The 27,722-nt window shown below is 57.4% G+C and overlaps 2 protein-coding genes across 7 annotated transcripts in view, besides 5 other annotated features; one reads left to right on the top strand and one right to left on the bottom strand.

Moving 5' to 3' along the window:
* AHNAK2 (AHNAK nucleoprotein 2) overlaps window positions 1-23,056 on the top strand; it is a 41,122-nt gene extending 18,066 nt beyond the window's left edge. For all 4 annotated transcript variants that reach the window (NM_138420.4, NM_001350929.2, XM_047430904.1 and 1 more), the window contains exons 2-7: window positions 2,637-2,695; window positions 2,801-2,899; window positions 3,620-3,721; window positions 4,676-4,826; window positions 5,168-5,352; window positions 5,510-23,056. In NM_138420.4, coding sequence (NP_612429.2) covers window positions 2,637-2,695; window positions 2,801-2,899; window positions 3,620-3,721; window positions 4,676-4,826; window positions 5,168-5,352; window positions 5,510-22,246 — 17,333 coding nt within the window. In that variant the 3' untranslated portion in view covers window positions 22,247-23,056. The remainder of the gene's footprint in view (window positions 1-2,636; window positions 2,696-2,800; window positions 2,900-3,619; window positions 3,722-4,675; window positions 4,827-5,167; window positions 5,353-5,509) is intronic.
* Window positions 3,112-3,281: an enhancer, noted in NCBI's record as "experimental_33767 CRE fragment used in MPRA reporter constructs". NCBI's record gives its function as "activates a minimal promoter by MPRAs in K562 erythroleukemia cells, with activity observed for both the introgressed and non-introgressed 14:105423450 or rs58365272 variant alleles {active_cell/tissue: K562}" and the evidence as "EXISTENCE:reporter gene assay evidence [ECO:0000049][PMID:34662402]".
* Window position 3,196: a transcriptional cis regulatory region, noted in NCBI's record as "Neanderthal adaptively introgressed variant 14:105423450 (GRCh37/hg19 assembly coordinates) or rs58365272 in the experimental_33767 CRE". NCBI's record gives its function as "modulates activity of the experimental_33767 enhancer by MPRAs in K562 erythroleukemia cells {active_cell/tissue: K562}" and the evidence as "EXISTENCE:reporter gene assay evidence [ECO:0000049][PMID:34662402]".
* Window positions 20,314-20,814: an enhancer, noted in NCBI's record as "H3K4me1 hESC enhancer chr14:105405832-105406332 (GRCh37/hg19 assembly coordinates)". NCBI's record gives its function as "activates a minimal SCP1, AML or CMV promoter by ChIP-STARR-seq in naive H9 embryonic stem cells {active_cell/tissue: H9 hESC(naive)}" and the evidence as "EXISTENCE:reporter gene assay evidence [ECO:0000049][PMID:30033119]".
* PLD4 (phospholipase D family member 4) overlaps window positions 22,524-27,722 on the bottom strand; it is a 12,907-nt gene continuing 7,708 nt past the window's right edge. The window contains exon 11 of one of the 3 annotated variants that reach the window (NM_001308174.2): window positions 22,524-27,544. In NM_001308174.2, the coding sequence (NP_001295103.1) occupies window positions 27,345-27,544 (200 nt within the window). In that variant the 3' untranslated portion in view covers window positions 22,524-27,344. The remainder of the gene's footprint in view (window positions 27,545-27,722) is intronic. The other 2 variants (XM_011536411.3, NM_138790.5) reach the window with 2 other exon arrangements.
* Window positions 26,643-27,102: a silencer, noted in NCBI's record as "silent region_6206". NCBI's record gives its function as "represses an Ori minimal core promoter by ATAC-STARR-seq in GM12878 lymphoblastoid cells {active_cell/tissue: GM12878}" and the evidence as "EXISTENCE:reporter gene assay evidence [ECO:0000049][PMID:35858748]".
* Window positions 27,107-27,722: part of an enhancer, noted in NCBI's record as "H3K27ac-H3K4me1 hESC enhancer chr14:105398641-105399539 (GRCh37/hg19 assembly coordinates)", that runs on past the window's edge. NCBI's record gives its function as "activates a minimal SCP1, AML or CMV promoter by ChIP-STARR-seq in naive H9 embryonic stem cells {active_cell/tissue: H9 hESC(naive)}" and the evidence as "EXISTENCE:reporter gene assay evidence [ECO:0000049][PMID:30033119]".

Genomic DNA, 27,722 nt, shown 5'->3' with positions numbered 1-27,722 from the left:
TGGGAGAACATTTTTGACCCAAGTTTCATTGAACTCAGGATACAGAAACCACTGATATGAGAGGCTGACTGTATACCCTCTCCTCCTACTCCTTTTTGCTATTATTGTCACGTATATACTGTATCTATATATGTTATAATCCTAACAATATGGTGTTAGAATTGTTGCCTTATATAAGTGGTTCACAGATGATTGTCTGTCTTCTAAATCCAGCCTCCTTTTTGTTTTACAAGTAAAGTTTTGTTGAAACAGTTTTGCTCATTTATTTACATATTATCTATAATCTATAGCTGCTTTTGTACTATGGCTGCAGAGTTGCAACAGAGATCATGTGGCCTGGTAAGCTTAAAATATCCACTATATTGCCTTTTTCAAGAAAAGTTTGTCAATCCTTGCTTTATACAATCCTCTGTTTTTGAAAGAAGTTAAGAAATAAAATGAGGACAATATATATTCATAGAGTCTTTTATATTTGCCTGCATAGTTACCATTTTCTGCATTCTCCATTTCTTCCTGTGCATTTGACTTAGTGTCTGGTATTAGTTCCTTTCAGTCCGAAGGACTTCTTTAGTATATCTTGTAAGGCAGATTTGCTAGCAATGACATTTCCAAGTCTTTGTTCATTTGGGAATGCCTTTATTTTTCCTTTTTTTAAAATTTAAATTTTTATTTTTTTGAGACAGAGTCTTGCTCTGCCTGACTAGAGTGAAGTGGTGCAATCACAGCTCACTGCAGCCTCAACCTCTCAGGCTTAAGCTATCCTCCCGCCTCAGCCTCCTGAGCAGCTGGGACTATAGGCATGCACCACCATGCCCCGCTAATTTTTAAAAAAATTTTTGGGCCGGACACGGCAGCTCATGCCTGTAATCCCAGCACTTTGGGAGGCTGAGGCAGGCGGATCACGAGGTCAAGAGTTCAAGACCAGCCTGGCCGACATGGTGAAACCCGTCTCTCCTAAACGTACGAAAATTAGCTGGGCATGGTAGCGCGTGTCTGTAGTCCCAGCTACTCGGGAGGCTGAGGCAGAAGAATCACTTGAACCTGGGAGGCGGAGGTTGCAGTGAACCAAGATCGTGCCACTGCACTTCATCCTGGGTGACAGAGTGAGACTCCGTCTCAAAAAAAAAATTTTTTTTTGTAGAGATGAGATCTTACTATATTGCTCAGGCTGGCCTTGAGTTTCTGGGCTCAAGCAATCCTCGCACTTCAGCCTCCCAAAGTGCTGGGATTACAGGCATAAGCCAGCATGCCCAGACTATTTTGCCTTTATTTTTGGAAGGATAGGTTGCTTGATATCAAATTCTTCGTTGACAACAGTTTCTTTCAGCCCTTTGAATATATTGTTCCACTTTCTCGTAGCTTCTATGGTTTTGATGTGATTCAGGTGTTAGTTGTATTTTTGTGCCCTTATTATGTGATGGGGCCCTTTCTCTTAAGCATTTTGACTGTGACGTTTCTAGGTGTGGATCTCTGTGTTTCTCCTGCTTAGGTCTGGTCGCGCTTCTTGGATTCTGCAGATTGTTTTCAGCTATCACTTCTTCAACTCTCTCTTCTGCCTCTTTATCTTATGGTTAATGCTCTGAGACTCTGTTTTTCTTCAAACAATCTTCCCCCTGACCCCGTTCTTCAAATTGGTTAATTTATATTAATCTACAAGTTGATAATTCTTCTGGTATCTCAAATCTGTTGGTGAACCCCAGTAGTAAATTTTCAACTCCAGAATTTTTGCTTGCTTTTAAAAAATAAGTTTTATTTCTTTATGAGATTCTCTCTTCATTGAGCCATTGTTAACATATTTTCCATTAATTTTTTAAACATGATTTGTTTTTGTGTTTTGAACAAACTTTTTTTTTTCTTTTTGAGACGGAGTTTCACTCTTGTTGCCCAGGCTGGAGTACAATGGCACAATCTCGGCTCACCACAACCTCCGCCTCCCAGGTTCAAGTGATTCTCCTACCTCAGCCTCCTGAGTAGCTGGGATTACAGGCATGTGCCACCATGCCTGGCTAATTTTGTATTTTTAGTAGAGATGGGGTTTCTCCATGTTGGTGAGGCTGGTCTCGAACTCCCAACCTCAGGTGATCCACCCGCCTCAGCCTCCCAAAGTCCTGGGATTACAGGCATGAGCCACCGTGCCCGGCCTGAACAAACTTTTAATAGTTTCTTTGAAGTCTGTATTAAACCCAGCATTAGTAGACATTTAGAGACACTTTCCATTCACTGCTTTGTTTCTCAGTATGGACCATACATTCTTGTTTCTTCGCGTAACTTGTAATTTTTTGGTGGCTGCTGGACATTTTAGATAATATATTCTGGCAGCTCTGGATTCTGATCCTCCCAGGGTGTGGTTATACAATAACAAACGCCTTGTGTTTGTTTAGTCACTTTCTTGGACTAAATCTGTTCCAACTTGGAATAAGTCCAGTCTCAATTCACTGCTACCTGACGTGATGCCTCAGCCTCTCCAGCCCATTGGCTATAGATCTTCCCCCAGCCCCTGAGTTTGCTCTCCGATCCAGTGTCCAGGAAAGGACTATGACACCTCCACAGTGTACATACAGTCCTGGCTCCCTCCCCCGGGCCCCGATCTGCTCCCCCAGCCTGCTTGTCTCCACTGACAGCCACTCTCTCTGCAGTGTCCGGCCGTCAGCTGCAGCCCGGGGAGCCAGGTGCAGAAACGGAAGATGACCACTCTGTAAGTGAGAGCAGGAGGAAGTGTGTCCTCCTCATACCCTGCCCCCATTCTCCCTGGGCCCTGGGAGAACCGAGTGGCAAAAATAACTGGATTCTCTCCCGTCAGGTGACTGAAGGGCCTGCGGATGAGGGCATTCGACCACGGCCGCAGGGGTCTTCACCTGTCTACGAATACACGACTGAGGCTGCCGACTTTGGACTCCAGGTGAGCCTGCTGGGCAGAGCCCCACAGGCACCCAGGTCTCCTCCTGCATCGCCCTGTGTGGGCAACTCACGCATGTCTGTTCAACCTTGCTGCCCTGCCCCGCTGCCCACTGGGCAGTGCCCACTCAGATGTCCTCTCAGACTCCTCTGTGCCCTTGGGTCCCTCCCTGTGGCCGGCCAGGGCACAGTGGGATGGAGGTGCCCTGCAGCTCTTGTGAGCATGCGTATGGGCTGATGGGGACAGGCCTCATGTTACTGTGTTTGTGTTTCAGGGGCACAGGGTGTGTGCATCCCTGCACCTGTGTAACACACTCATGCTGTCTTTGGGGACAGGGCCCCATGGCTACCTCTGGAGACAAGGACTCGGGGAAGGGATCAGAGGAGGCATGTCTATGAAAGGATTCATTTTTGTACAATTTGAATTTCTTATCTCCCTCCATACAAAACTCCAGTTGCTGTGGGGCTTCCCTATGGGCGCTGTGGGCTGTAGGGTGGGTGCTGTGGGCTGTAGGCTGGGCCCTGTCGGGAAGCAGGAAGGCCGAGAGTTGCCTTTTCTCTGTGGATGTGCCTGGAGGAACTCGGCTGCCTCTGCACACAGCTGTGTGTTGGAAGTTCTGGGCCCCTCTGAAGGGAGGGCTCCTGGTCTGGCACCAGCCTACCTGTGCCCCTCCCTGTCCCTGAGCTGGGGCAGGTGCCTAACTCCCAACACTTGTGGCTGCAGGAAGACGCCCCCGGCAGGCAAGGTTCTGCTGGGAGACGGAGATCCTGGTGGAAGCGAGATTCAGGGGACTCACGGACATTTTTCAGGATGAGTCGTCCAGAGGTGGGTACAGCAGGAGCTGAGGGTCACAGAGGTGTGTCGGTCCTCAAGGGATCCAGCCAGAGAGTCCGAGGTCAGAGCAGGCAGGGGAGGAGCAAAGAGGCTGGCAGTGTGCCCCGTGCCCTGGGGAGGAGGGGTGTTCTTGTCCCCCTTGTCAGGCCTGGGGAAGGGCAGGGGCTCCAGAAGGCTACATCTGGTCCTGGCCCTCTCCACCCCTCCCTGGGGTGGAGTCTGATGCATAGCCAAGCTCCTGGCCAGGTAGACCTGGCTGTACAGACCTCGATTTTCTCCTCCGTGCAATGGGGCAGTGCTGGTGTCTGTTGCATATTCAAGCTGTGGGGCTGAAAAGGCCAGTCAGCACCCAGGCCATGGAACTATGGAAGGTGCTAGACTCTGCTAGCACCCAATGATGAGGGCACTCTGCCTCTTAAGCAACTAGTTTTTTTCCTTGGAGGCCCCAGCAGTCCAAGAGCTCTGCAGGACACAGGCCCCATCCTGTCCCAGGTCTCGCAGGCTGCACCCAATGTCCCGTATTTTCCTTGGCATTGCTGTGCTTCCTTGTCTTGAGCATCAGGTGCCTTGCACACAACTGGTGCTTCACGCGTTTGTGAAGAATGCATGAAGGAGCTGAAAAAGAGAAACTGGCCACAGGGAAAGCAGAATCCGTTCTGCGCTGCTCCTGGTGCCCTGCTGGGCCTGGTGGCATGGACAGGCTGTGCCTAAGTCCTGGCAGGTTGGGGTGGGGACAAGAGTTCTGGCAGGTTCCAGCTGGCTTCCTCCAGAGCTCAGAGACAGCTACCTGAGCCCACCTGGTGGGTACCCTACTCTGCTCTGTGTTGTCTGGGCTGATGGAAAGGATGGTGGGGTGCCCATCCTCTGGAGACACAGGCCCCAGCAGGGATGCTTATGGTGGGACTGGCACATGCTCACCATGGCCCTGATGTGCTTCTGCTCCAGGCTGTCCAGGAGGCAACAGAGGTGACGCTGAAGACAGAGGTGGAGGCAGGAGCCAGTGGCTACAGTGTCACAGGTGGTGGGGACCAGGGGATCTTCGTCAAGCAAGTGCTGAAGGACTCCTCAGCCGCCAAGCTTTTTAACTTGAGAGAAGGTGCCATGGCAGTTCCATCCCTGGGGTCACCATTCTCCCCACCAGGATGGGAGGGACCTGGAGGGGGGTATTGAGGGGTAAGAACCACACCTGGAGCTTAGGATGACCTCCTCACGCCTCTGCTCAACAGCTTGAGGCTGGGATCACCCACTGCATCTAGTAAAATGGGGGACCCCATCCACCTTGCCTGTGCCTGAGGCACTCAGTGGGGGACTGGTGGGGCAGACTCAGTGGGATTCCCCCTATTCATGTCCCCGGGACCCTCCTCGCCAGCCAAGGCAAGACAGCAGACCCCGTCTCATTCACACACCCGGCCCTGGGGCTGCTCTTTCTTGGTCTAGGGGATCAGCTGCTCAGTACAACCGTGTTCTTTGAAAACATAAAATATGAAGATGCTCTCAAAATCCTTCAATATTCAGAGCCGTACAAGGTTCAGTTCAAAATCAGACGGCAGCTCCCTGCCCCACAGGATGAAGAGTGGGCTTCCAGCGATGCCCAGCACGGCCCACAGGGCAAGGAGAAGGAGGTGAGACCACTATGCCCGGGGGGCAGGGCCCCAGCTGGCTTCACTACCCTGCTGGCTGAGCCTGGGAGGGGATAGCACTCCCACTCCATCTGTCCCTGGGCCAGGGCCCCAGGCTTCTTGGACTGGCACCAACAGATTCCCTCTCCCTATGTTTCAGGACACGGATGTTGCTGATGGGTGCAGAGAGACCCCCACGAAAACTCTGGAAGGAGATGGGGACCAAGAGAGACTCATCTCCAAACCAAGGGTGGGGAGAGGCAGGCAGAGCCAGAGGGAGAGGCTCTCTTGGCCAAAATTTCAATCCATAAAGAGCAAGCGGGGGCCGGGACCCCAGAGGTCACACAGCTCGTCAGAGGCCTACGAACCTAGGGACGCACATGACGTGTCCCCTACAAGCACAGACACAGAGGCCCAGCTCACGGTGGAGCGCCAAGAGCAGAAGGCAGGGCCGGGCAGCCAGAGGAGGCGGAAGTTCCTCAACCTCAGATTCAGGACAGGCTCGGGACAGGGCCCTTCATCGACAGGACAGCCAGGCAGGGGGTTCCAGAGTGGGGTGGGCCGTGCTGGGGTCCTGGAAGAGTTGGGGCCCTGGGGTGATAGCCTCGAGGAGACTGGGGCTGCCACAGGCAGCAGGAGAGAGGAGAGGGCAGAACAGGATCGAGAAGTGATGCCTGCTCAGAGCATGCCATTGCCCACAGAGCTCGGTGACCCTAGACTTTGCGAGGGAACCCCTCAGGAAGGGGGACTCAGGGCAGCCAGGCTCCATGGAAAGACCCTGGAGGGGCAGGCACAGGAGACAGCAGTGGCCCAGAGGAAGCCCAGGGCCCAGCCAACTCCTGGAATGAGCCGGGAGGGTGAAGGCGAGGGACTGCAGAGCCTGGAAATCGGGATCGCCAGACTGTCCTTGAGAGACACAACCGAAGGAGGCACACAGATTGGCCCACCAGAAATTAGGGTGCGAGTACACGATTTAAAGACACCAAAATTTGCATTTTCCACAGAAAAAGAGCCAGAAAGAGAAAGGCGCCTTAGTACCCCACAGCGAGGGAAGAGACAGGATGCGTCCTCAAAAGCGGGTACTGGCCTGAAGGGTGAGGAGGTGGAAGGAGCCGGGTGGATGCCGGGCAGGGAACCAACCACACATGCAGAAGCACAGGGGGATGAAGGAGATGGAGAGGAAGGACTACAGAGGACAAGGATCACTGAGGAACAGGACAAGGGCAGGGAAGACACAGAAGGACAGATAAGAATGCCCAAGTTCAAGATACCCTCCTTAGGATGGTCGCCAAGCAAGCACACAAAGACAGGCAGAGAAAAAGCCACAGAAGACACAGAGCAGGGAAGGGAAGGAGAGGCCACAGCAACAGCTGATAGAAGAGAACAGAGACGCACAGAGGAAGGATTAAAAGACAAAGAAGACAGTGACTCAATGACAAACACAACAAAAATACAACTAATACACGATGAAAAACGCTTAAAAAAGGAACAAATTCTGACAGAAAAGGAAGTGGCCACCAAAGACAGCAAGTTCAAAATGCCCAAGTTCAAGATGCCATTGTTCGGGGCGTCAGCCCCAGGCAAGTCCATGGAGGCCTCGGTGGATGTGTCTGCGCCGAAGGTGGAGGCCGACGTGAGCCTCCTCTCCATGCAGGGGGACCTCAAGACCACTGACCTCAGCGTCCAGACCCCTTCCGCTGACCTGGAGGTCCAGGATGGCCAAGTGGATGTGAAACTTCCGGAGGGCCCCCTGCCCGAGGGAGCCAGCCTCAAAGGGCACCTGCCCAAGGTGCAGAGGCCCAGTTTGAAGATGCCCAAAGTGGACCTCAAGGGCCCCAAGCTGGACCTGAAAGGCCCCAAGGCGGAAGTGACAGCCCCCGATGTGAAGATGTCTCTGTCCAGCATGGAGGTGGACGTCCAGGCCCCGAGAGCAAAGCTGGATGGTGCGCGGCTGGAGGGGGACCTGTCCCTGGCCGACAAGGAGGTGACTGCCAAAGACAGCAAGTTCAAAATGCCCAAGTTCAAGATGCCATCATTCGGGGTGTCGGCCCCAGGCAAGTCCATGGAGGACTCGGTGGATGTGTCTGCGCCGAAGGTGGAGGCCGACGTGAGCCTCTCCTCCATGCAGGGGGACCTCAAGGCCACTGACCTCAGCATTCAGCCCCCTTCCGCTGACCTGGAGGTCCAGGCTGGCCAAGTGGATGTGAAACTTCCGGAGGGCCCTGTGCCCGAGGGAGCCGGCCCCAAAGTGCACCTGCCCAAAGTGGAGATGCCCAGTTTCAAGATGCCCAAAGTGGACCTCAAGGGCCCCCAGATAGATGTTAAGGGCCCCAAGCTGGACCTGAAAGGCCCCAAGGCGGAAGTGACAGCCCCCGATGGCGAGGTGTCTCTGCCCAGCATGGAGGTGGATGTCCAGGCCCAGAAGGCCAAGCTGGATGGTGCGTGGCTGGAGGGGGACCTGTCCCTGGCCGACAAGGACGTGACTGCCAAAGACAGCAAGTTCAAAATGCCCAAGTTCAAGATGCCGTCGTTCGGGGTATCGGCCCCAGGGAAGTCCATCAAGGCCTTGGTGGATGTGTCTGCACCCAAGGTGGAGGCCGACCTGAGTCTCCCCTCCATGCAGGGGGACCTGAAGACCACTGACCTCAGCATTCAGCCTGCTTCTACTGACCTGAAGGTCCAGGCTGACCAGGTGGATGTGAAGCTCCCGGAGGGCCACCTGCCCGAGGGAGCTGGCCTTAAAGGGCACTTGCCCAAGGTGGAGATGCCCAGTTTCAAGATGCCCAAAGTGGCCCTCAAGGGCCCCCAGGTGGACGTCAAGGGCCCCAAGCTGGACCTGAAAAGCCCCAAGGCGGAAGTCACAGCCCCTGATGTGGAGGTGTCTCTGCCCAGCGTGGAGGTGGACGTCGAGGCCCCGGGAGCCAAGCTGGACAGTGCGCGGCTGGAGGGGGAACTGTCCCTGGCCGACAAGGATGTGACTGCCAAAGACAGCAGGTTCAAAATGCCCAAGTTCAAGATGCCATCGTTCGGGGCGTCAGCCCCAGGCAAGTCCATCGAGGCCTCGGTGGATGTGTCTGCACCCAAAGTGGAGGCCGACGTGAGTCTCCCCTCCATGCAGGGGGACCTCAAGACCACTGACCTCAGCATTCAGCCCCCTTCCGCTGACCTGGAGGTCCACGCTGGCCAGGTGGACGTGAAGCTCCTGGAGGGCCACGTGCCTGAGGGAGCCGGCTTCAAAGGGCACCTGCCCAAGGTGCAGATGCCTAGTTTGAAGATGCCCAAAGTGGACCTCAAGGGCCCCCAGGTGGAAGTCAGGGGCCCCAAGCTGGACCTGAAAGGTCATAAGGCAGAGGTGACGGCCCACGAAGTGGCTGTGTCTCTGCCCAGTGTGGAGGTGGACATGCAGGCCCCGGGAGCCAAGTTGGATGGCGCACAGCTGGACGGGGACCTGTCCCTGGCTGACAAGGACGTGACTGCCAAAGACAGCAAGTTCAAAATGCCCAAGTTCAAGATGCCGTCGTTCGGGGTGTCTGCCCCAGGCAAGTCCATTGAGGCCTCCGTGGACCTGTCTGCACCCAAGGTGGAGGCCGACATGAGCCTCCCCTCCATGCAGGGGGACCTCAAGACCACTGACCTCAGCATTCAGCCCCCTTCCACTGACCTGGAGCTCCAGGCTGGCCAATTGGACGTGAAACTCCCAGAGGGCCCCGTGCCCGAGGGAGCCGGCCTCAAAGGGCACCTGCCCAAGCTGCAGATGCCCAGTTTCAAGGTGCCCAAAGTGGACCTCAAGGGCCCTGAAATAGACATCAAGGGCCCCAAGCTGGACCTAAAAGACCCCAAGGTGGAAGTGACAGCCCCTGATGTGGAGGTTTCTCTGCCCAGCGTGGAGGTGGATGTCGAGGCCCCAGGAGCCAAGCTGGATGGTGGACGGCTGGAGGAGGACATGTCCCTGGCCGACAAGGACTTGACTACCAAAGACAGCAAGTTCAAAATGCCCAAGTTCAAGATGCCGTCGTTCGGGGTGTCTGCCCCAGGCAAGTCCATCGAGGCCTCAGTGGATGTGTCTGCGCCGAAGGTGGAGGCCGACGTGAGCCTCCCCTCCATGCAGGGGGACCTCAAGGCCACTGACCTGAGCATACAGCCCCCTTCTGCTGACCTGGAGGTCCAGGCTGGCCAAGTGGACGTGAAACTCCCAGAGGGCCCTGTGTCCGAGGGAGCCGGCCTCAAAGGGCACCTGCCCAAAGTGCAGATGCCCAGTTTCAAGATGCCCAAAGTGGACCTCAAGGGGCCCCAGATAGATGTTAAGGGCCCCAAGCTGGACCTGAAAGGCCCCAAGGTGGAAGTGACAGCCCCCGATGTGAAGATGTCTCTGTCCAGCATGGAGGTGGACGTCCAGGCCCCGAGAGCAAAGCTGGATGGTGCGCAGCTGGAGGGGGACCTGTCCCTGGCCGACAAGGCGGTGACTGCCAAAGACAGCAAGTTCAAAATGCCCAAGTTCAAGATGCCATCATTTGGGGTGTCGGCCCCAGGCAAGTCCATCGAGGCCTCGGTGGATGTGTCTGAGCCGAAGGTGGAAGCTGATGTGAGCCTCCCCTCCATGCAGGGGGACCTGAAGACCACTGACCTCAGCATTCAGTCCCCTTCCGCCGACCTGGAGGTCCAGGCTGGCCAAGTGAACGTGAAACTCCCGGAGGGCCCCCTTCCCGAGGGAGCCGGCTTCAAAGGGCACCTCCCCAAGGTGCAGATGCCCAGTTTGAAGATGCCCAAAGTGGCCCTCAAGGGCCCCCAGATGGACGTCAAGGGCCCCAAGCTGGACCTGAAAGGCCCCAAGGCGGAGGTGATGGCCCCCGACGTGGAGGTGTCTCTGCCCAGCGTGGAGGTGGACGTCGAGGCTCCAGGAGCCAAGCTGGACAGTGTGCGGCTGGAGGGTGACCTGTCCCTGGCCGACAAGGATGTGACTGCCAAAGACAGCAAGTTCAAAATGCCCAAGTTCAAGATGCCGTCGTTCGGGGTGTCTGCCCCAGGCAAGTCCATCGAGGCCTCGGTGGATGTGTCTGCGCCGAAGGTGGAGGCCGAAGTGAGCCTCCCCTCCATGCAGGGGGACCTCAAGACCACGGACCTCTGCATTCCGCTCCCTTCTGCAGACCTGGTGGTCCAGGCTGGCCAAGTGGACATGAAGCTCCCGGAGGGCCAGGTGCCCGAGGGAGCCGGCCTCAAAGGGCACTTGCCCAAGGTGGATATGCCCAGTTTCAAGATGCCCAAAGTGGACCTCAAGGGCCCCCAGACAGATGTTAAGGGCGCCAAGCTGGACCTGAAAGGCCCCAAGGCGGAAGTGACAGCCCCCGATGTCGAGGTGTCTCTGCCCAGCATGGAGGTGGATGTCCAGGCCCAGAAGGCTAAGCTGGATGGTGCGCGGCTGGAGGGAGACCTGTCCCTGGCCGACAAGGACATGACTGCCAAAGACAGCAAGTTCAAAATGCCCAAATTCAAGATGCCGTCGTTCGGGGTATCGGCCCCAGGGAGGTCCATCGAGGCCTCGGTGGATGTGCCTGCACCCAAGGTGGAGGCCGACGTGAGTCTCCCCTCCATGCAGGGGGACCTGAAGACCACTGACCTCAGCATTCAGCCCCCTTCTGCCGACCTGAAGGTCCAGACTGGCCAGGTGGATGTGAAGCTCCCGGAGGGCCACGTGCCCGAGGGAGCTGGCCTCAAAGGGCACCTGCCCAAGGTGGAGATGCCCAGTTTGAAGATGCCCAAAGTGGACCTCAAGGGCCCCCAGGTGGACATCAAGGGCCCCAAACTGGACCTAAAAGACCCCAAGGTGGAAATGAGAGTCCCCGATGTCGAGGTGTCTCTGCCCAGCATGGAGGTGGACGTCCAGGCCCCAAGAGCCAAGCTGGATAGTGCGCATCTGCAGGGGGACCTGACCCTGGCCAACAAGGACCTGACTACCAAAGACAGCAAGTTCAAAATGCCCAAGTTCAAGATGCCGTCGTTTGGGGTGTCTGCCCCAGGCAAGTCCATCGAGGCCTCGGTGGATGTGTCTCCACCCAAGGTGGAGGCCGACATGAGTCTCCCCTCCATGCAGGGGGACCTCAAGACCACTGACCTCAGCATTCAGCCCCTTTCCGCCGACGTGAAGGTCCAGGCTGGCCAGGTGGACGTGAAACTCCTGGAGGGCCCTGTGCCCGAGGAAGTCGGCCTCAAAGGGCACCTGCCCAAGCTGCAGATGCCCAGTTTCAAGGTGCCCAAAGTGGACCTCAAGGGCCCCGAAATAGACATCAAGGGCCCCAAGCTGGACCTAAAAGACCCCAAGGTGGAAGTGACAGCCCCTGATGTGGAGGTGTCTCTGCCCAGCGTGGAGGTGGACGTCAAGGCCCCAGGAGCCAAGCTGGATGGTGCGCGGCTGGAGGGGGACATGTCCCTGGCCGACAAGGACGTGACTGCCAAAGACAGCAAGTTCAAAATGCCCAAGTTCAAGATGCTGTCGTTTGGGGTGTCTGCCCTTGGCAAGTCCATCGAGGCCTCAGCGGATGTGTCTGCGTTGAAGGTGGAGGCCGACGTGAGCCTCCCCTCCATGCAGGGGGACCTCAAGACCACTGACCTCAGCGTTCAGCCCCCTTCCGCTGACCTGGAGGTCCAGGCTGGCCAAGTGGATGTGAAACTCCCAGAGGGCCCCGTGCCGGAGGGAGCCGGCCTCAAAGGGCACCTGCCCAAGCTGCAGATGCCCAGTTTCAAGATGCCCAAAGTAGATCTCAAGGGCCCCCAGATAGATGTCAAGGGCCCCAAGCTGGACCTGAAAGGCCCCAAGACGGACGTGATGGCCCCCGACGTGGAGGTGTCTCAGCCCAGCGTGGAGGTGGATGTCGAGGCCCCGGGAGCCAAGCTGGATGGTGCGTGGCTGGAGGGGGACCTGTCTGTGGCGGACAAGGATGTGACTACCAAAGACAGCAGGTTCAAAATTCCCAAGTTCAAGATGCCGTCATTCGGGGTGTCTGCCCCAGGCAAGTCCATCGAGGCCTCGGTGGATGTGTCTGCGCCGAAGGTGGAGGCCGACGGGAGCCTCTCCTCCATGCAGGGGGACCTCAAGGCCACTGACCTCAGCATTCAGCCCCCTTCCGCTGACCTGGAGGTCCAGGCTGGCCAAGTGGACGTGAAACTCCCAGAGGGCCCTGTGCCGGAGGGAGCCGGCCTCAAAGGGCACCTGCCCAAGGTGCAGATGCCCAGTTTCAAGATGCCTGAAATGGACCTCAAGGGCCCCCAGCTAGATGTCAAGGGCCCCAAGCTGGACCTGAAAGGCCCCAAGGCGGAAGTGACAGCCCCCGATGTGGAGATGTCTCTGTCCAGCATGGAGGTGGACGTCCAGGCCCCGAGAGCAAAGCTGGATGGTGCGCGGCTGGAGGGGGACCTGTCCCTGGCCGACAAGGGTGTGACAGCCAAAGATAGCAAGTTCAAAATGCCCAAGTTCAAGATGCCATCATTCAGGGTGTCGGCCCCAGGCGAGTCCATCGAGGCGTTGGTGGATGTGTCTGAGCTGAAGGTGGAAGCCGACATGAGCCTCCCCTCCATGCAAGGGGACCTTAAGACCACTGACATCAGCATTCAGCCCCCCTCTGCCCAACTGGAGGTCCAGGCTGGCCAGGTGGATGTGAAACTCCCAGAGGGCCACGTTCCCGAGGGAGCCGGCCTCAAAGGGCACCTGCCCAAGCTGCAGATGCCCAGTTTCAAGATGCCTGAAGTGGACCTCAAGGGCCCCCAGATAGATGTTAAGGGCCCCAACGTGGACCTGAAAGGCCCCAAGGCGGAAGTGACAGCCCCCGATGTGAAGATGTCTCTGTCCAGCATGGAGGTGGACGTCCAGGCCCCGAGAGCAAAGCTGGATGGTGCGCGGCTGGAGGGGGACCTGTCCCTGGCCGACAAGGGCATGACAGCCAAAGACAGCAAGTTCAAAATGCCCAAGTTCAAGATGCCGTCATTCGGGGTGTCGGCCCCAGGCAAGTCCATCGAGGCCTCGGTGGATGTGTCTGAGCTGAAGGTGGAAGCTGACGGGAGCTTCCCCTCCATGCAAGGGGATCTTAAGACCACTGACATCCGCATTCAGCCCCCCTCCGCCCAACTGGAGGTCCAGGCTGGCCAGGTGGACGTGAAACTCCCAGAGGGCCACGTTCCCGAGGGAGCCGGCCTCAAAGGGCACCTGCCCAAGGTGCAGATGCCCAGTTTCAAGATGCCCAAAGTGGATCTCAAGGGCCCCCAGATAGACGTCAAGGGCCCCAAGCTGGACCTGAAAGGCCCCAAGGCGGAGGTGACGGCCCCCGACGTGGAGGTGTCTCTGCCCAGCGTGGAGGTGGACGTCGAGGCCCCGAGAGCAAAGCTGGATGGTGCACGGCTGGAGGGTGACCTGTCCCTGGCCGACAAGGATGTGACTGCCAAAGACAGCAAGTTCAAAATGCCCAAGTTCAAGATGCCGTCGTTCGGGGTGTCTGCCCCAGGCAAGTCCATTGAGGTCTCGGTGGATGTGTCTGCGCCGAAGGTGGAGGCCGAAGTGAGCCTCCCCTCCATGCAGGGGGACCTGAAGACCACTGACATCAGCATTGAGCCCCCCTCTGCCCAACTGGAGGTCCAGGCTGGCCAGGTGGACCTGAAGCTCCCAGAGGGCCACGTTCCCGAGGGAGCTGGCCTCAAAGGGCACCTGCCCAAGTTGCAGATGCCCAGTTTCAAGATGCCCAAAGTAGATCGCAAGGGACCCCAGATAGATGTCAAGGGCCCCAAGCTGGACCTGAAAGGCCCGAAGACGGACGTGACGGCCCCCGACGTGGAGGTGTCTCAGCCCGGCATGGAGGTGGATGTCGAGGCCCCAGGAGCCAAGTTGGATGGTGCACGGCTGGAGGGGGACCTGTCCCTGGCCGACAAGGATGTGACTGCCAAAGACAGCAAGTTCAAAATGCCCAAGTTCAAGATGCCGTCGTTCGGGGTGTCTGCCCCAGGCAAGTCCATTGAGGTCTTGGTGGATGTGTCTGCGCCAAAGGTGGAGGCCGACCTGAGCCTCCCCTCCATGCAGGGGGACCTGAAGAACACTGACATCAGCATTGAGCCCCCCTCTGCCCAACTGGAGGTCCAGGCTGGCCAGGTGGACGTGAAGCTCCCAGAGGGCCACGTTCTCGAGGGAGCTGGCCTCAAAGGGCACCTGCCCAAGTTGCAGATGCCCAGTTTCAAGATGCCCAAAGTAGATCGCAAGGGCCCCCAGATAGACATCAAGGGCCCCAAGCTGGACCTGAAAGGCCCGAAGATGGATGTGACGGCCCCCGACGTGGAGGTGTCTCAGCCCAGCATGGAGGTGGACGTCGAGGCCCCAGGAGCCAAGTTGGATGGTGCACGGCTGGAGGGGGACCTGTCCCTGGCCGACAAGGATGTGACTGCCAAAGACAGCAAGTTCAAAATGCCCAAATTCAAGATGCCGTCGTACAGGGCGTCTGCCCCAGGCAAGTCCATCCAGGCCTCGGTGGATGTGTCTGCGCCGAAGGCGGAGGCCGACGTGAGCCTCCCCTCCATGCAGGGGGACCTCAAGACCACTGACCTCAGCATTCAGCTCCCTTCTGTGGACCTGGAGGTCCAGGCTGGCCAGGTGGACGTGAAGCTCCCGGAGGGCCACGTGCCCGAGGGAGCTGGCCTCAAAGGGCACCTGCCCAAGGTGGAGATGCCCAGTTTCAAGATGCCCAAAGTGGACCTCAAGAGCCCCCAGGTGGACATCAAGGGCCCCAAGCTGGACCTAAAAGTCCCCAAGGCGGAAGTGACAGTCCCTGATGTGGAGGTGTCTCTGCCCAGCGTGGAGGTGGACGTCCAGGCCCCGAGAGCCAAGCTGGATGGTGCGCGGCTGGAGGGGGACCTGTCCCTGGCTGAAAAGGATGTGACTGCCAAAGACAGCAAGTTCAAAATGCCCAAGTTCAAGATGCCCTCCTTCGGGGTGTCGGCCCCAGGCAGGTCCATCGAGGCCTCGCTGGATGTGTCTGCGCCGAAGGTGGAGGCCGACGTGAGCCTCTCCTCCATGCAGGGGGACCTCAAGGCCACTGACCTCAGCATTCAGCCCCCTTCCGCTGACCTGGAGGTCCAGGCTGTCCAAGTGGATGTGGAACTCCTGGAGGGCCCCGTGCCCGAGGGAGCCGGCCTCAAAGGGCACCTGCCCAAAGTGGAGATGCCCAGTTTAAAGACGCCCAAAGTGGACCTCAAGGGCCCCCAGATAGATGTTAAGGGCCCCAAGCTGGACCTGAAAGGCCCCAAGGCAGAAGTGAGAGTCCCCGATGTCGAGGTGTCTCTGCCCAGCGTGGAGGTGGATGTCCAGGCCCCGAAGGCCAAGCTGGATGCTGGGCGGCTGGAGGGAGACCTGTCCCTGGCTGACAAGGACGTGACTGCCAAAGACAGCAAGTTCAAAATGCCCAAATTCAAGATGCCGTCATTCAGGGTATCGGCCCCAGGGAAGTCCATGGAGGCCTCGGTGGATGTGTCTGCACCCAAGGTGGAAGCCGATGTGAGTCTCCCCTCCATGCAGGGGGACCTGAAGACCACTGACCTCAGCATTCAGCCCCCTTCTGCCGACCTGAAGGTCCAGGCTGGCCAGATGGATGTGAAGCTCCCGGAGGGCCAGGTGCCCGAGGGAGCCGGCCTCAAAGAGCACCTGCCCAAGGTGGAGATGCCCAGTTTGAAGATGCCCAAAGTGGACCTCAAGGGCCCCCAGGTGGACATCAAGGGCCCCAAGCTGGACCTAAAAGTCTCCAAGGCGGAAGTCACAGCCCCTGATGTGGAGGTGTCTCTGCCCAGCGTGGAGGTGGACGTCCAGGCCCCAAGAGCCAAACTGGATAGTGCACAGCTGGAGGGGGACCTGTCCCTGGCCGACAAGGATGTGACTGCCAAAGACAGCAAATTCAAAATGCCCAAGTTCAAGATGCCGTCATTTGGGGTGTCTGCCCCAGGCAAGTCCATTGAGGCCTCGGTGCACGTGTCTGCACCCAAGGTGGAGGCCGATGTGAGTCTCCCCTCCATGCAGGGGGACCTCAAGACCACTGACCTCAGCATTCAGCCCCATTCTGCCGACCTGACGGTCCAAGCTCGCCAGGTGGACATGAAACTCCTGGAGGGCCACGTGCCCGAGGAAGCCGGCCTCAAAGGACACCTGCCCAAGGTGCAGATGCCCAGTTTCAAGATGCCCAAAGTCGACCTCAAGGGCCCTGAAATAGACATCAAGGGCCCCAAGCTGGACCTAAAAGACCCCAAGGTGGAAGTGACAGCCCCTGATGTGGAGGTTTCTCTGCCCAGCGTGGAGGTGGACGTCGAGGCCCCAGGAGCCAAGCTGGATGGTGCGCGGCTGGAGGGGGACCTGTCCCTGGCCGACAAGGACATGACGGCCAAAGACAGCAAGTTCAAAATGCCCAAGTTCAAGATGCCGTCGTTCGGGGTGTCTGCCCCAGGCAAGTCCATGGAGGCATCAGTGGATGTGACCGCGCCAAAGGTGGAGGCCGACGTGAGCCTCCCTTCCATGCAGGGGGACCTCAAGGCCACTGACCTCAGCGTTCAGCCCCCTTCCGCTGACCTGGAGGTCCAGGCTGGCCAAGTGGACGTGAAACTCCCAGAGGGCCCCGTGCCCGAGGGAGCCAGCCTCAAAGGGCACCTGCCCAAGGTGCAGATGCCCAGTTTCAAGATGCCCAAAGTGGACCTCAAGGGCCCCCAGATAGATGTTAAGGGCCCCAAGCTGGACCTGAAAGGCCCCAAGGCGGAAGTGACAGCCCCTGATGTGAAGATGTCTCTGTCCAGCATGGAGGTGGACGTCCAGGCCCCGAGAGCAAAGCTGGATGGTGTGCAGCTGGAGGGGGACCTGTCCCTGGCCGACAAGGATGTGACTGCCAAAGACAGCAAGTTCAAAATGCCCAAGTTCAAGATGCCATCATTCGGGGTGTCGGCCCCAGGCAAGTCCATGGAGGCGTCCGTGGATGTGTCTGAGCTGAAGGCGAAAGCCGACGTGAGCCTCCCCTCCATGCAGGGGGACCTCAAGACCACTGACCTCAGCATTCAGTCCCCTTCCGCCGACCTGGAGGTCCAGGCTGGCCAAGTGGACGTGAAACTCCCGGAGGGCCCCCTGCCCAAGGGAGCCGGCCTCAAAGGGCACCTCCCCAAGGTGCAGATGCCCTGTTTGAAGATGCCCAAAGTGGCCCTCAAGGGCCCCCAGGTGGATGTCAAGGGCCCCAAGCTGGACCTGAAAGGCCCCAAGGCGGATGTGATGACCCCCGTCGTGGAGGTGTCTCTGCCCAGCATGGAGGTGGACGTCGAGGCCCCGGGAGCCAAGCTGGACAGTGTGCGGCTGGAGGGTGACCTGTCCCTAGCCGACAAGGACATGACTGCCAAAGACAGCAAGTTCAAAATGCCCAAGTTCAAGATGCCGTCGTTCGGGGTGTCTGCCCCAGGCAAGTCCATCGAGGCCTCGTTGGATGTGTCTGCGCTGAAGGTGGAGGCTGACGTGAGCCTCCCCTCCATGCAGGGGGACCTGAAGACCACTCACCTCAGCATTCAGCCCCCTTCCGCTGATCTGGAGGTCCAGGCTGGCCAAGAGGATGTGAAACTCCCAGAGGGCCCTGTGCATGAGGGAGCCGGCCTCAAAGGGCACCTGCCGAAGCTGCAGATGCCCAGTTTCAAGGTACCCAAAGTGGACCTCAAGGGTCCCCAGATAGACGTTAATGTCCCCAAGCTGGACCTGAAAGGCCCCAAGGTGGAGGTGACGTCCCCCAACCTGGACGTGTCTCTGCCCAGCATGGAGGTGGACATCCAAGCCCCAGGAGCCAAGCTGGACAGTACGCGGCTGGAGGGGGACCTGTCCCTGGCTGACAAGGACGTGACTGCCAAAGACAGCAAGTTCAAAATGCCCAAGTTCAAGATGCCATCCTTTGGGATGTTGTCCCCAGGCAAGTCCATCGAGGTCTCGGTGGATGTGTCTGCGCCAAAGATGGAGGCCGACATGAGCATTCCCTCCATGCAGGGGGACCTCAAGACCACTGACCTCCGCATTCAGGCCCCTTCCGCCGACCTGGAGGTCCAGGCTGGCCAGGTGGACTTGAAACTTCCAGAAGGCCACATGCCCGAGGTAGCCGGCCTCAAAGGGCACCTGCCCAAGGTGGAGATGCCCAGTTTCAAGATGCCCAAAGTGGACCTCAAGGGCCCCCAGGTGGACGTCAAGGGCCCCAAGCTGGACCTGAAAGGCCCAAAGGCAGAGGTGATGGCCCCCGATGTGGAGGTGTCTCTGCCCAGCGTGGAGACGGATGTCCAGGCCCCAGGATCCATGCTGGATGGTGCGCGGCTTGAGGGGGACCTGTCCCTGGCCCACGAGGATGTAGCTGGGAAAGACAGTAAGTTTCAAGGACCAAAACTGAGCACGTCTGGTTTTGAATGGTCGTCAAAGAAAGTTTCCATGTCTTCCTCTGAAATCGAAGGAAATGTTACATTCCATGAGAAGACTTCCACATTTCCCATTGTGGAATCTGTTGTTCATGAAGGTGATCTTCATGATCCATCTCGCGATGGTAACTTGGGGCTTGCTGTTGGAGAAGTTGGAATGGATTCGAAGTTTAAGAAACTGCATTTTAAAGTGCCCAAAGTTTCATTTTCTTCTACCAAAACTCCTAAAGATAGTTTAGTCCCAGGTGCAAAGTCTAGCATAGGTCTTTCCACGATTCCTTTATCATCTTCAGAATGCTCAAGTTTTGAATTACAACAGGTTTCGGCTTGTTCAGAGCCATCCATGCAGATGCCTAAGGTGGGTTTTGCTGGGTTTCCATCATCCCGGCTTGATCTCACTGGTCCTCACTTTGAATCTTCTATTCTCTCTCCCTGTGAGGATGTTACACTTACAAAATACCAGGTGACTGTTCCCAGAGCTGCCTTGGCCCCTGAGCTTGCTCTGGAAATTCCTTCTGGGTCTCAGGCTGATATTCCTCTTCCCAAGACAGAGTGCTCCACTGACCTGCAGCCTCCAGAGGGAGTTCCAACATCTCAAGCTGAGAGTCACTCTGGCCCACTGAATTCCATGATTCCTGTTTCTCTTGGTCAGGTATCTTTTCCTAAATTCTATAAACCAAAGTTTGTGTTTTCAGTCCCCCAAATGGCAGTTCCTGAGGGAGACCTACATGCAGCAGTGGGTGCCCCAGTCATGTCTCCTCTTAGCCCTGGAGAAAGAGTGCAGTGCCCCTTGCCAAGCACCCAGCTGCCATCCCCAGGCACCTGTGTGTCTCAGGGCCCAGAAGAGCTTGTGGCCTCCTTGCAGACATCAGTAGTGGCCCCTGGAGAAGCCCCTTCTGAAGATGCTGACCACGAAGGGAAAGGGAGTCCCTTGAAAATGCCTAAGATTAAGCTTCCATCATTTAGGTGGTCCCCGAAGAAGGAAACAGGGCCAAAGGTGGACCCAGAATGCAGCGTGGAGGACTCAAAACTCAGCCTGGTTTTAGACAAGGATGAAGTGGCCCCGCAGTCTGCCATCCACATGGATCTGCCTCCTGAGAGGGATGGAGAGAAGGGGAGGAGCACAAAGCCTGGCTTTGCCATGCCAAAACTTGCACTTCCCAAAATGAAGGCTTCTAAGAGTGGGGTCAGCCTGCCACAGAGAGACGTGGATCCTTCCCTTTCTAGTGCCACAGCAGGGGGTAGCTTTCAAGACACAGAAAAGGCCAGCAGTGACGGTGGTAGGGGAGGACTTGGTGCAACAGCAAGTGCCACAGGAAGTGAGGGTGTGAACCTCCACCGGCCACAGGTCCACATTCCCAGTTTGGGCTTTGCCAAACCTGATCTCAGATCCTCCAAGGCCAAGGTGGAGGTGAGCCAGCCTGAAGCTGACCTGCCTCTTCCCAAACATGATCTGTCTACCGAAGGTGACAGCAGAGGATGTGGGCTCGGGGATGTCCCAGTGAGCCAGCCTTGTGGGGAGGGGATAGCCCCCACACCTGAAGATCCCCTCCAGCCATCCTGTAGAAAACCAGATGCTGAAGTCCTCACAGTGGAAAGCCCAGAGGAGGAAGCCATGACCAAGTACTCGCAGGAAAGCTGGTTTAAAATGCCCAAGTTCCGCATGCCCAGCCTTAGGCGCTCTTTCAGGGACAGAGGCGGGGCTGGAAAGCTGGAAGTGGCTCAGACACAGGCACCGGCAGCAACAGGGGGTGAAGCAGCAGCTAAAGTCAAAGAGTTCCTTGTTTCTGGGTCAAACGTGGAGGCAGCTATGTCCCTACAGCTCCCAGAGGCAGATGCAGAAGTGACAGCTTCTGAGAGCAAATCATCCACAGATATTCTAAGGTGTGATCTTGACAGCACAGGCTTGAAGCTGCACCTCTCCACTGCTGGGATGACTGGGGATGAGCTTTCCACTTCTGAGGTCAGGATCCATCCATCCAAAGGACCTCTCCCTTTTCAGATGCCTGGCATGAGGCTTCCAGAAACCCAGGTTCTTCCAGGAGAAATAGATGAGACTCCTCTTTCCAAGCCAGGACATGACCTTGCCAGCATGGAGGATAAAACAGAGAAATGGTCTTCCCAGCCTGAAGGTCCACTTAAATTGAAAGCTTCAAGTACTGATATGCCATCCCAGATTTCTGTGGTTAATGTGGATCAACTGTGGGAAGATTCTGTCCTAACTGTCAAATTCCCCAAATTAATGGTACCAAGGTTCTCCTTCCCTGCCCCCAGCTCAGAGGATGATGTGTTCATCCCCACTGTGAGGGAAGTGCAGTGTCCAGAGGCCAATATTGATACAGCCCTTTGTAAGGAAAGTCCGGGGCTCTGGGGAGCCAGCATCCTGAAGGCAGGTGCTGGGGTCCCTGGGGAGCAGCCTGTGGACCTTAACCTGCCTTTGGAAGCTCCCCCAATTTCAAAGGTCAGAGTGCATATTCAGGGTGCTCAGGTTGAAAGTCAAGAGGTCACTATACACAGCATAGTGACACCAGAGTTTGTAGATCTCTCAGTACCCAGGACTTTTTCCACTCAGATTGTGCGGGAATCAGAGATCCCCACGTCAGAGATTCAAACACCTTCGTACGGATTTTCCTTATTAAAAGTGAAAATCCCAGAGCCCCACACGCAGGCTAGAGTGTACACAACAATGACTCAACACTCTAGGACTCAGGAGGGCACAGAAGAGGCTCCCATACAAGCCACCCCAGGAGTAGACTCCATTTCTGGAGATCTCCAGCCTGACACTGGAGAACCATTTGAGATGATCTCTTCCAGCGTCAATGTACTGGGACAGCAAACACTCACATTTGAAGTTCCTTCTGGCCACCAGCTTGCAGACAGCTGTTCAGATGAGGAGCCAGCAGAAATTCTTGAGTTTCCCCCTGATGATAGCCAAGAGGCAACCACACCACTGGCAGATGAAGGCAGGGCTCCAAAAGACAAACCAGAAAGTAAAAAATCTGGTCTGCTCTGGTTTTGGCTTCCAAACATTGGGTTTTCCTCTTCTGTTGATGAGACAGGTGTTGATTCCAAAAATGACGTCCAGAGATCTGCTCCCATTCAAACACAGCCTGAGGCACGACCAGAGGCAGAACTGCCTAAAAAACAGGAGAAGGCAGGCTGGTTCCGATTTCCCAAATTAGGGTTCTCCTCATCTCCTACCAAGAAAAGCAAAAGCACCGAAGATGGGGCAGAGCTGGAAGAACAAAAACTTCAAGAAGAAACAATCACGTTTTTTGATGCCCGAGAAAGTTTCTCCCCTGAAGAGAAGGAAGAGGGTGAACTGATCGGGCCTGTGGGCACTGGGCTGGACTCCAGAGTGATGGTGACATCCGCGGCAAGAACAGAGTTAATCCTGCCCGAGCAGGACAGAAAAGCTGACGATGAAAGCAAAGGGTCAGGCCTGGGACCAAATGAAGGCTGAGAGGTATGGCTCATCAGTACAAGAGAGATGCAAAAAACTAAGTTGGAAAGTAAAGGCTACACACACATATGGAGCACCCCATCCCACAGCACATTACATCCACCTCACTTCACAGAACGGAGAACAGAGCAGAAATGACCAGAACACCTTTGTCACCATCACACAGCCCTCCTAAAATGGAACCAAAGCTTCCCAGCTCCCTCAAAGCTTTGGATGCAAAGAAGGCACCCTGACTTCCACAAGACACCAGAATTCACACGGTACTCAGAGGCACTGCTGGGGAAGTTTGTTGGTCTTTATTAGATAAATTTCCAGAGACCTGTCCATAATACCCAACAGAACATGACTGTTTCTTTGAGGAAAGGGTTATAATGTCTGTGGTGTACAAGTCGTTTTTGGTATAACTTCTTTCCTGCTGCTGCTGCTTCCCGGCAAACATAGTTTTCCTATTTCAGGCAGAGTGCGGTATATTCCAGGAAACACTGTTTCCTACTCACTTAGCTTACTTCTTTGTTGAATGCCTCACTAATGGCAAGTTTCAAGATGTTTTGGGTGACAATGCACACATGCTGGGCAAAAGGGTGATGGCCAGTGGCTGGCAGCTGGGCCAGCAGAAGCTAGGACATCTGTGAGTTGTCATTCTCATCTATCCATGTCCACTGGCCTGCCAGCATCCGCCAGTGCCTTGCCAGTGTGCACGGTCCCACACTGTGGCCCCTGAGTCCCCTAATGTACACGCTGCAGCCAGAATGCAGATGGAGCTGGCTTGGCTGTTCCCTGGATGGGCAATAAAGAAAGTGCTGCATCCCATGCTGAAGGCTGCTGAGGTCTTCTGTCTCAGGGTCGAAGTTTACCAGGGCTTTCCTCCCACACACTCCTGGTCTCTACTAAGCAGCTCTAGAGAACAGTCAATGAGGAACATTTGGGTGGTTGCCTACCTATCATCCATTTGTCCAGGTCCTCCTCTGAGCCAGAGGCTGTGAGGAAGACAAGGAAGATAGGGCTGAGTTCACAGTGTGGCAGGGACACAGACGTACAACCCTCCCTCCCTCCCTCCAGCTGGAGGCAGTGTGGGATGGGAGATGGAGTGCAGAGTGGGGACAGCACAGAAAGGTGACCTTGGCCATCTTTAGTGGCCCATCCTCAGAAGCTTCCTTCACCACAGAGGCGCTCTTGGGCAGCCCACAGGAAGCAAATCCACGTGGCGTAGCGGATTGAGGTTCAAGGGTTTCCCTACAGTCTTTCAGTGGTCAAATCTCTTCCCAGATGCCCCTGCCAGATTCATGGGTATGCAGTGTTCAAGGGGGCAGTTGGAACTTGCCCCCAGCTCCCTCCTGGCCTAGGTGGGCTCCTGGTGAGAAGCGCTTATGGCCCCCTGGGGAGGTGGCTGCTCTCATGGCTGTGGATATGGGAGCAAGAGCTGGGCTGTGAGCCAATCTGGAGGACCGCAGTGCCTGGAGGGTGAAGGCCACTCCGAGGCTACCACTCGTGCTGCCCTGAGAGGTTCCAGAGGGGTGACAGCTATGGGGTGCAGGAGCCTGGGCAGGGGAGAGGCTGGGTTCTTTCCCCATGCCACCATGGGCATATGTTCCCTGTGCTGAGTTGGGGAGGCCCGTGGGTGTCATCCAAGTTAGGGCACATAGAAGCCTCTAGAAAGTGAACTGACACAGGTCCCCTGGGGGCTCATGAGCAGGGGAAGTGGGAAGGGAAATTTGGTGGACACTCATCCCAGTTAAGCAAGGCCATCACCCTCTCCCTTCCCAGGGCTTCCTGCCTTCTCTACTCCAACTTGTGTGTGCCAGACAAGCTAGGTGAGTGCAGCCCAGGGGGAGGAGTCTGCTTGGCTCCATGGGGCTTTTGTCCCTCTCTGATCCAAGAGTCAAGGCCTGGGATAGTGGGGACCTTGGTGCTAGAGGCCAGAGAGACAGCTGTCCCAGCATGTGAGGAGTGGCTGAGCAGCAGGGGCCCCCACAGGGTTCTCGCGTGGCCTTGGTTCTCTGTGTATGAGTTATCTATGCTGCATAAGAACATCACTACAAATTAGCAACTTAAAACAACACACATTTATGATCTCCCAGTTTCTGTGGATCAGGAGCCCAAGTGTGGCTTTGTTGGGTTCTCTGCTCAAGGTCCCATTAGGCTACAATCAAGATGTCAGCTGGGGCTGTGGTCTCCCCTTCAGGTATGACCAGGAAAGCAGCCACTTCTGAAGCTCACGTTGTTGCTAGCCACACTCAACTCCTTGTGGATGGGATGATTGAGGGCCCCAGTTTCTTGCTAGTTGGGGGCTGGAGGCAACCCCAGTACCCTGCTACATGGGCCTCTTCATAGGACAGCTCATAGCCTAGCAGCTCACTTTTTAAAGCTAGCAAGGGATAGACTGCTATTCCTTGATAATGTTATAATCTTATGTCACATGATCACAAGGTGTCACAGGAGTGACATCCCCTTACCTCTGTATTCTATTGGTTACAACAAGGCACAGGTCCTGCACACACTCAAGGTGAGATCACACAAGGGCATGCATACCAGCAGGTGGGGGTCAAGGGAGCCATTCTAGAGTCTGTCTGCTATAGCCCAGAAGGGGCCACATTGTGGCACCCTCCTGGGGTCTCCCAAGCCTTGTCAAGCTGGATTTCCTTTGGAATAGGCATCTGCCTTGAAGCAGGCCTCTGTCAGTGCCACTGAGGTGTGACTGCCAGTCCCCAGGTGTGTGGAAAGAGGCCTTTCACTGGCTGAGGGCCACCAGCCAGTTGTCCAAATCACAGCCTGGAGCACAGAGCCCTCCTAGAACATAGTTGGCAGGCCAAGAGAGCAGGCCAAGTGCTCTGAGACACATTCAGGTATAAGGCCAAGAACCAGGGAGCAAACCCACACGTGCAACCCTGGAGGGCAGAGCTTAGTCTGGGATGATATCGGCTTCTGAGCCAGGTGTTGCCACGAAGCTTTTTGCCAGATGGTTACTGAGGAGATATGGAGCATGAATGAGGGATAGGAAGCCACAGGGAGCAGCCACTGCAACTGCCAGAGCTTGGCTTGGCCAAGTGCAGCTCACACACAAAGCAGCCCCCAGAAGCTCCTGAAGGCCTTGCAGGGCTATGTGGATCCCTATCCCCCTGCAGCATCTGCAGCAAGCTTTTCACAAGCTTGGGCAGGGAGGCAGGATGGGTGTAGGAGATTTCTGCACAGACAGAATGCTGAAGTCTAAGGTGTCCTTTAGATGGGGGAAGTATGAGGTCACTAATCGAACAGAAAAGTAACTTGTACTGTACCTGAGATGAACTTTGCTAGCTTTCCCCAAAGCAAAGAGGGAAGAGGAAGATATGGCTGAGTTCACAGTGTGGCAGGGACACAAATGTAGGAAAGAAAAAAGTAGAGAAGGGTAGGAAAAGGAGAGAAGTAGAGAAGGGTAGGAAAGTGGTGCCTCAAGACCGGGAGAGCATTCGGGGCACCCTGGGGTCCATTCAGCATCCAGTGCTCCTTCATACCGCTGAGCCATCCCTGAACTCCAGCCTAGCATGGCCCCATGGACCTCCACCAGGGGAGGGTACCCTGTGGTCTTGGTCAGGAACCATCAGGTGAGATAAGCCAGGGTGTTTTGAGAATCCTTCTGACCCAGCATTCATAGCAGAAGAGTGGGAACTGAGTTGCCAAACCTGGGTTCAAATCCTGCATCTGCAGGACAGGTGCCCAGGTGGCTCCCAGGATAGGGTGAGTTCCAGTGGAGCTGCATCCAAGTCCTGGTCTCAGACTGGAGTCACCTTCCTGCCCTCCAGCTCAAATGCTGGTCCTCTCAGCCCCATCCACCAACCCTGGGCACTGCATCCCCAGGACAAGCCTGCCCCCACATGCTTGGACCCACCCTGCACAACAGCCCACAAACCACACAGCCTTGTGCACCCCTACCCTCGCCCGCCTGTCTCCCCAGCCCGCACGCAGGACCTGTCCCCTCAGCCGCGGGTCCCCTCCCGCCCTCCCCGTCCCCTCAGCCCCGGGTCGCCTCCCGCCCTCCCCGTCCCCTCAGCCGCGGGTCCCCTCCCGCCCTCCCCGTCCCCTCAGCCGCGGGTCCCCTCCCACCCTCCCCTCACTCAGCCCCGGATCGCCTCACATCCTCCCCGTCCCCTCAGTCGCAGGTCCCCTCCCGCCCTCCCGGTCCCCTCAGCCCCGCTCCCCTCCCGCCCTCCCCTCACTCAGCCCCGGGTCGCCTCCCGCCCTCCCGGTCCCCTCAGCCGCGGGTCCCCTCCCGCCCTCCCTGTCCCCTCAGCCGCGGGTCCCCTCCCACCCTCCCCTCACTCAGCCGCGGGTCGCCTCCCGCCCTCCCGGTCCCCTCAGCCGCGGGTCCCCTCCCGCCCTTCCCTCACTCAGCCGCGGGTCGCCTCCCGCCCTCCCTGTCCCCTCAGTCGCAGGTCCCCTCCCGCCCTCCCGGTCCCCTCAGCCCCGCTCCCCTCCCGCGCCGCCCCTGTCCGGCGCCGTAGGAGCTGCCCCCTGGCGGTGGGTGCGCGGCGCTGCGCCTTGGTCTGCGTTTCCTCCGCTGGAGTCCCGGGCGTGGGCTCCGCGCCTCTCGCTTCCCCCGGCAGCCTCGGGGCGGGAATTTGGGTTCCGGAGCGCGGCAGCCCGGCGCGGGGTGGGAGGTGGAGGGTTCGCTCCGCCTGGGAGGCCCGTCTGGTCCCCGCCCCGCCCCGCCCCAGGTTCTCGCGGACCCGGGGCTAGCTGAGGCGCTGCCACGGCGGTCGCGCGGCGCAGTTTCGCAGGGGCGGGCGCATAGAGGCGGGCCCTTGGCAAGAGGATGAAGGGCCGCCCGCGCGGGACTCACACAGAGGCACCGGGAAGCCACGAGTTTTTTTTAGGCCTGGCCTGTGGGCCAGGAGTCAGGGAAGGGGCTTCCTGGAGGGCTCCCTGGAGGAGGTGGGGCTCAGGGGGGGCTGGACTCGGAAATCAGAGAGCAGGCGGGCGGTTTGCGACGCCCGGGCGGTCGCAGGCGGCTCCTGGCGCAGTGCGGACCCGGGCTGCTTGCGGGAGGAAGCGGCTGAAGCCCAGGCCGGGGTCAGAGGGGAGGGCGCGTGCGGGGCGGGGTCGCCGAGAGAAAAAGAGGCCCCCCTCAGCCCTGCCAAACGCAGTCCTGGCCCGGAGCCTGTCCGTCCAGGCCGACGGCGTAGCGCGAACTCCAGTCCCGCTCAAAGAGCTGCCGCAGCTGCTCCTGCACCGTGGCCCCCGCGGGCTGCGCGCCAGGGCTCTGGGTGACCACCAAGCCCACCCCCGCCGTGCTGCTGAAGTAATCCTCCGACCAGTTGGAGGTGCCTGCGGGGAGGATGGAGGAGACACTGGGGCGCCGGCTCCCACAGGCCCCTCTGCAGCCCGCTCAGCGCCAGGCCCGGCTACGGGTTTGGGGACGGTTGGCAGCTGGCCCCTCCACTGTCATCAGACTCCAGCCGGGGAAGCCCCTCGCTTAGGTGCGGGAGGGACAGCTGGTCGCGGT

This window comes from Homo sapiens, chromosome 14 (genome assembly GCF_000001405.40).
Source record: "Homo sapiens chromosome 14, GRCh38.p14 Primary Assembly".
NCBI classification, from domain to species: Eukaryota; Metazoa; Chordata; class Mammalia; order Primates; family Hominidae; genus Homo; species Homo sapiens.
The sequence above is the reverse complement of the archived record's forward strand: the minus strand, read 5'-3'. Positions and strand labels throughout refer to the sequence as shown.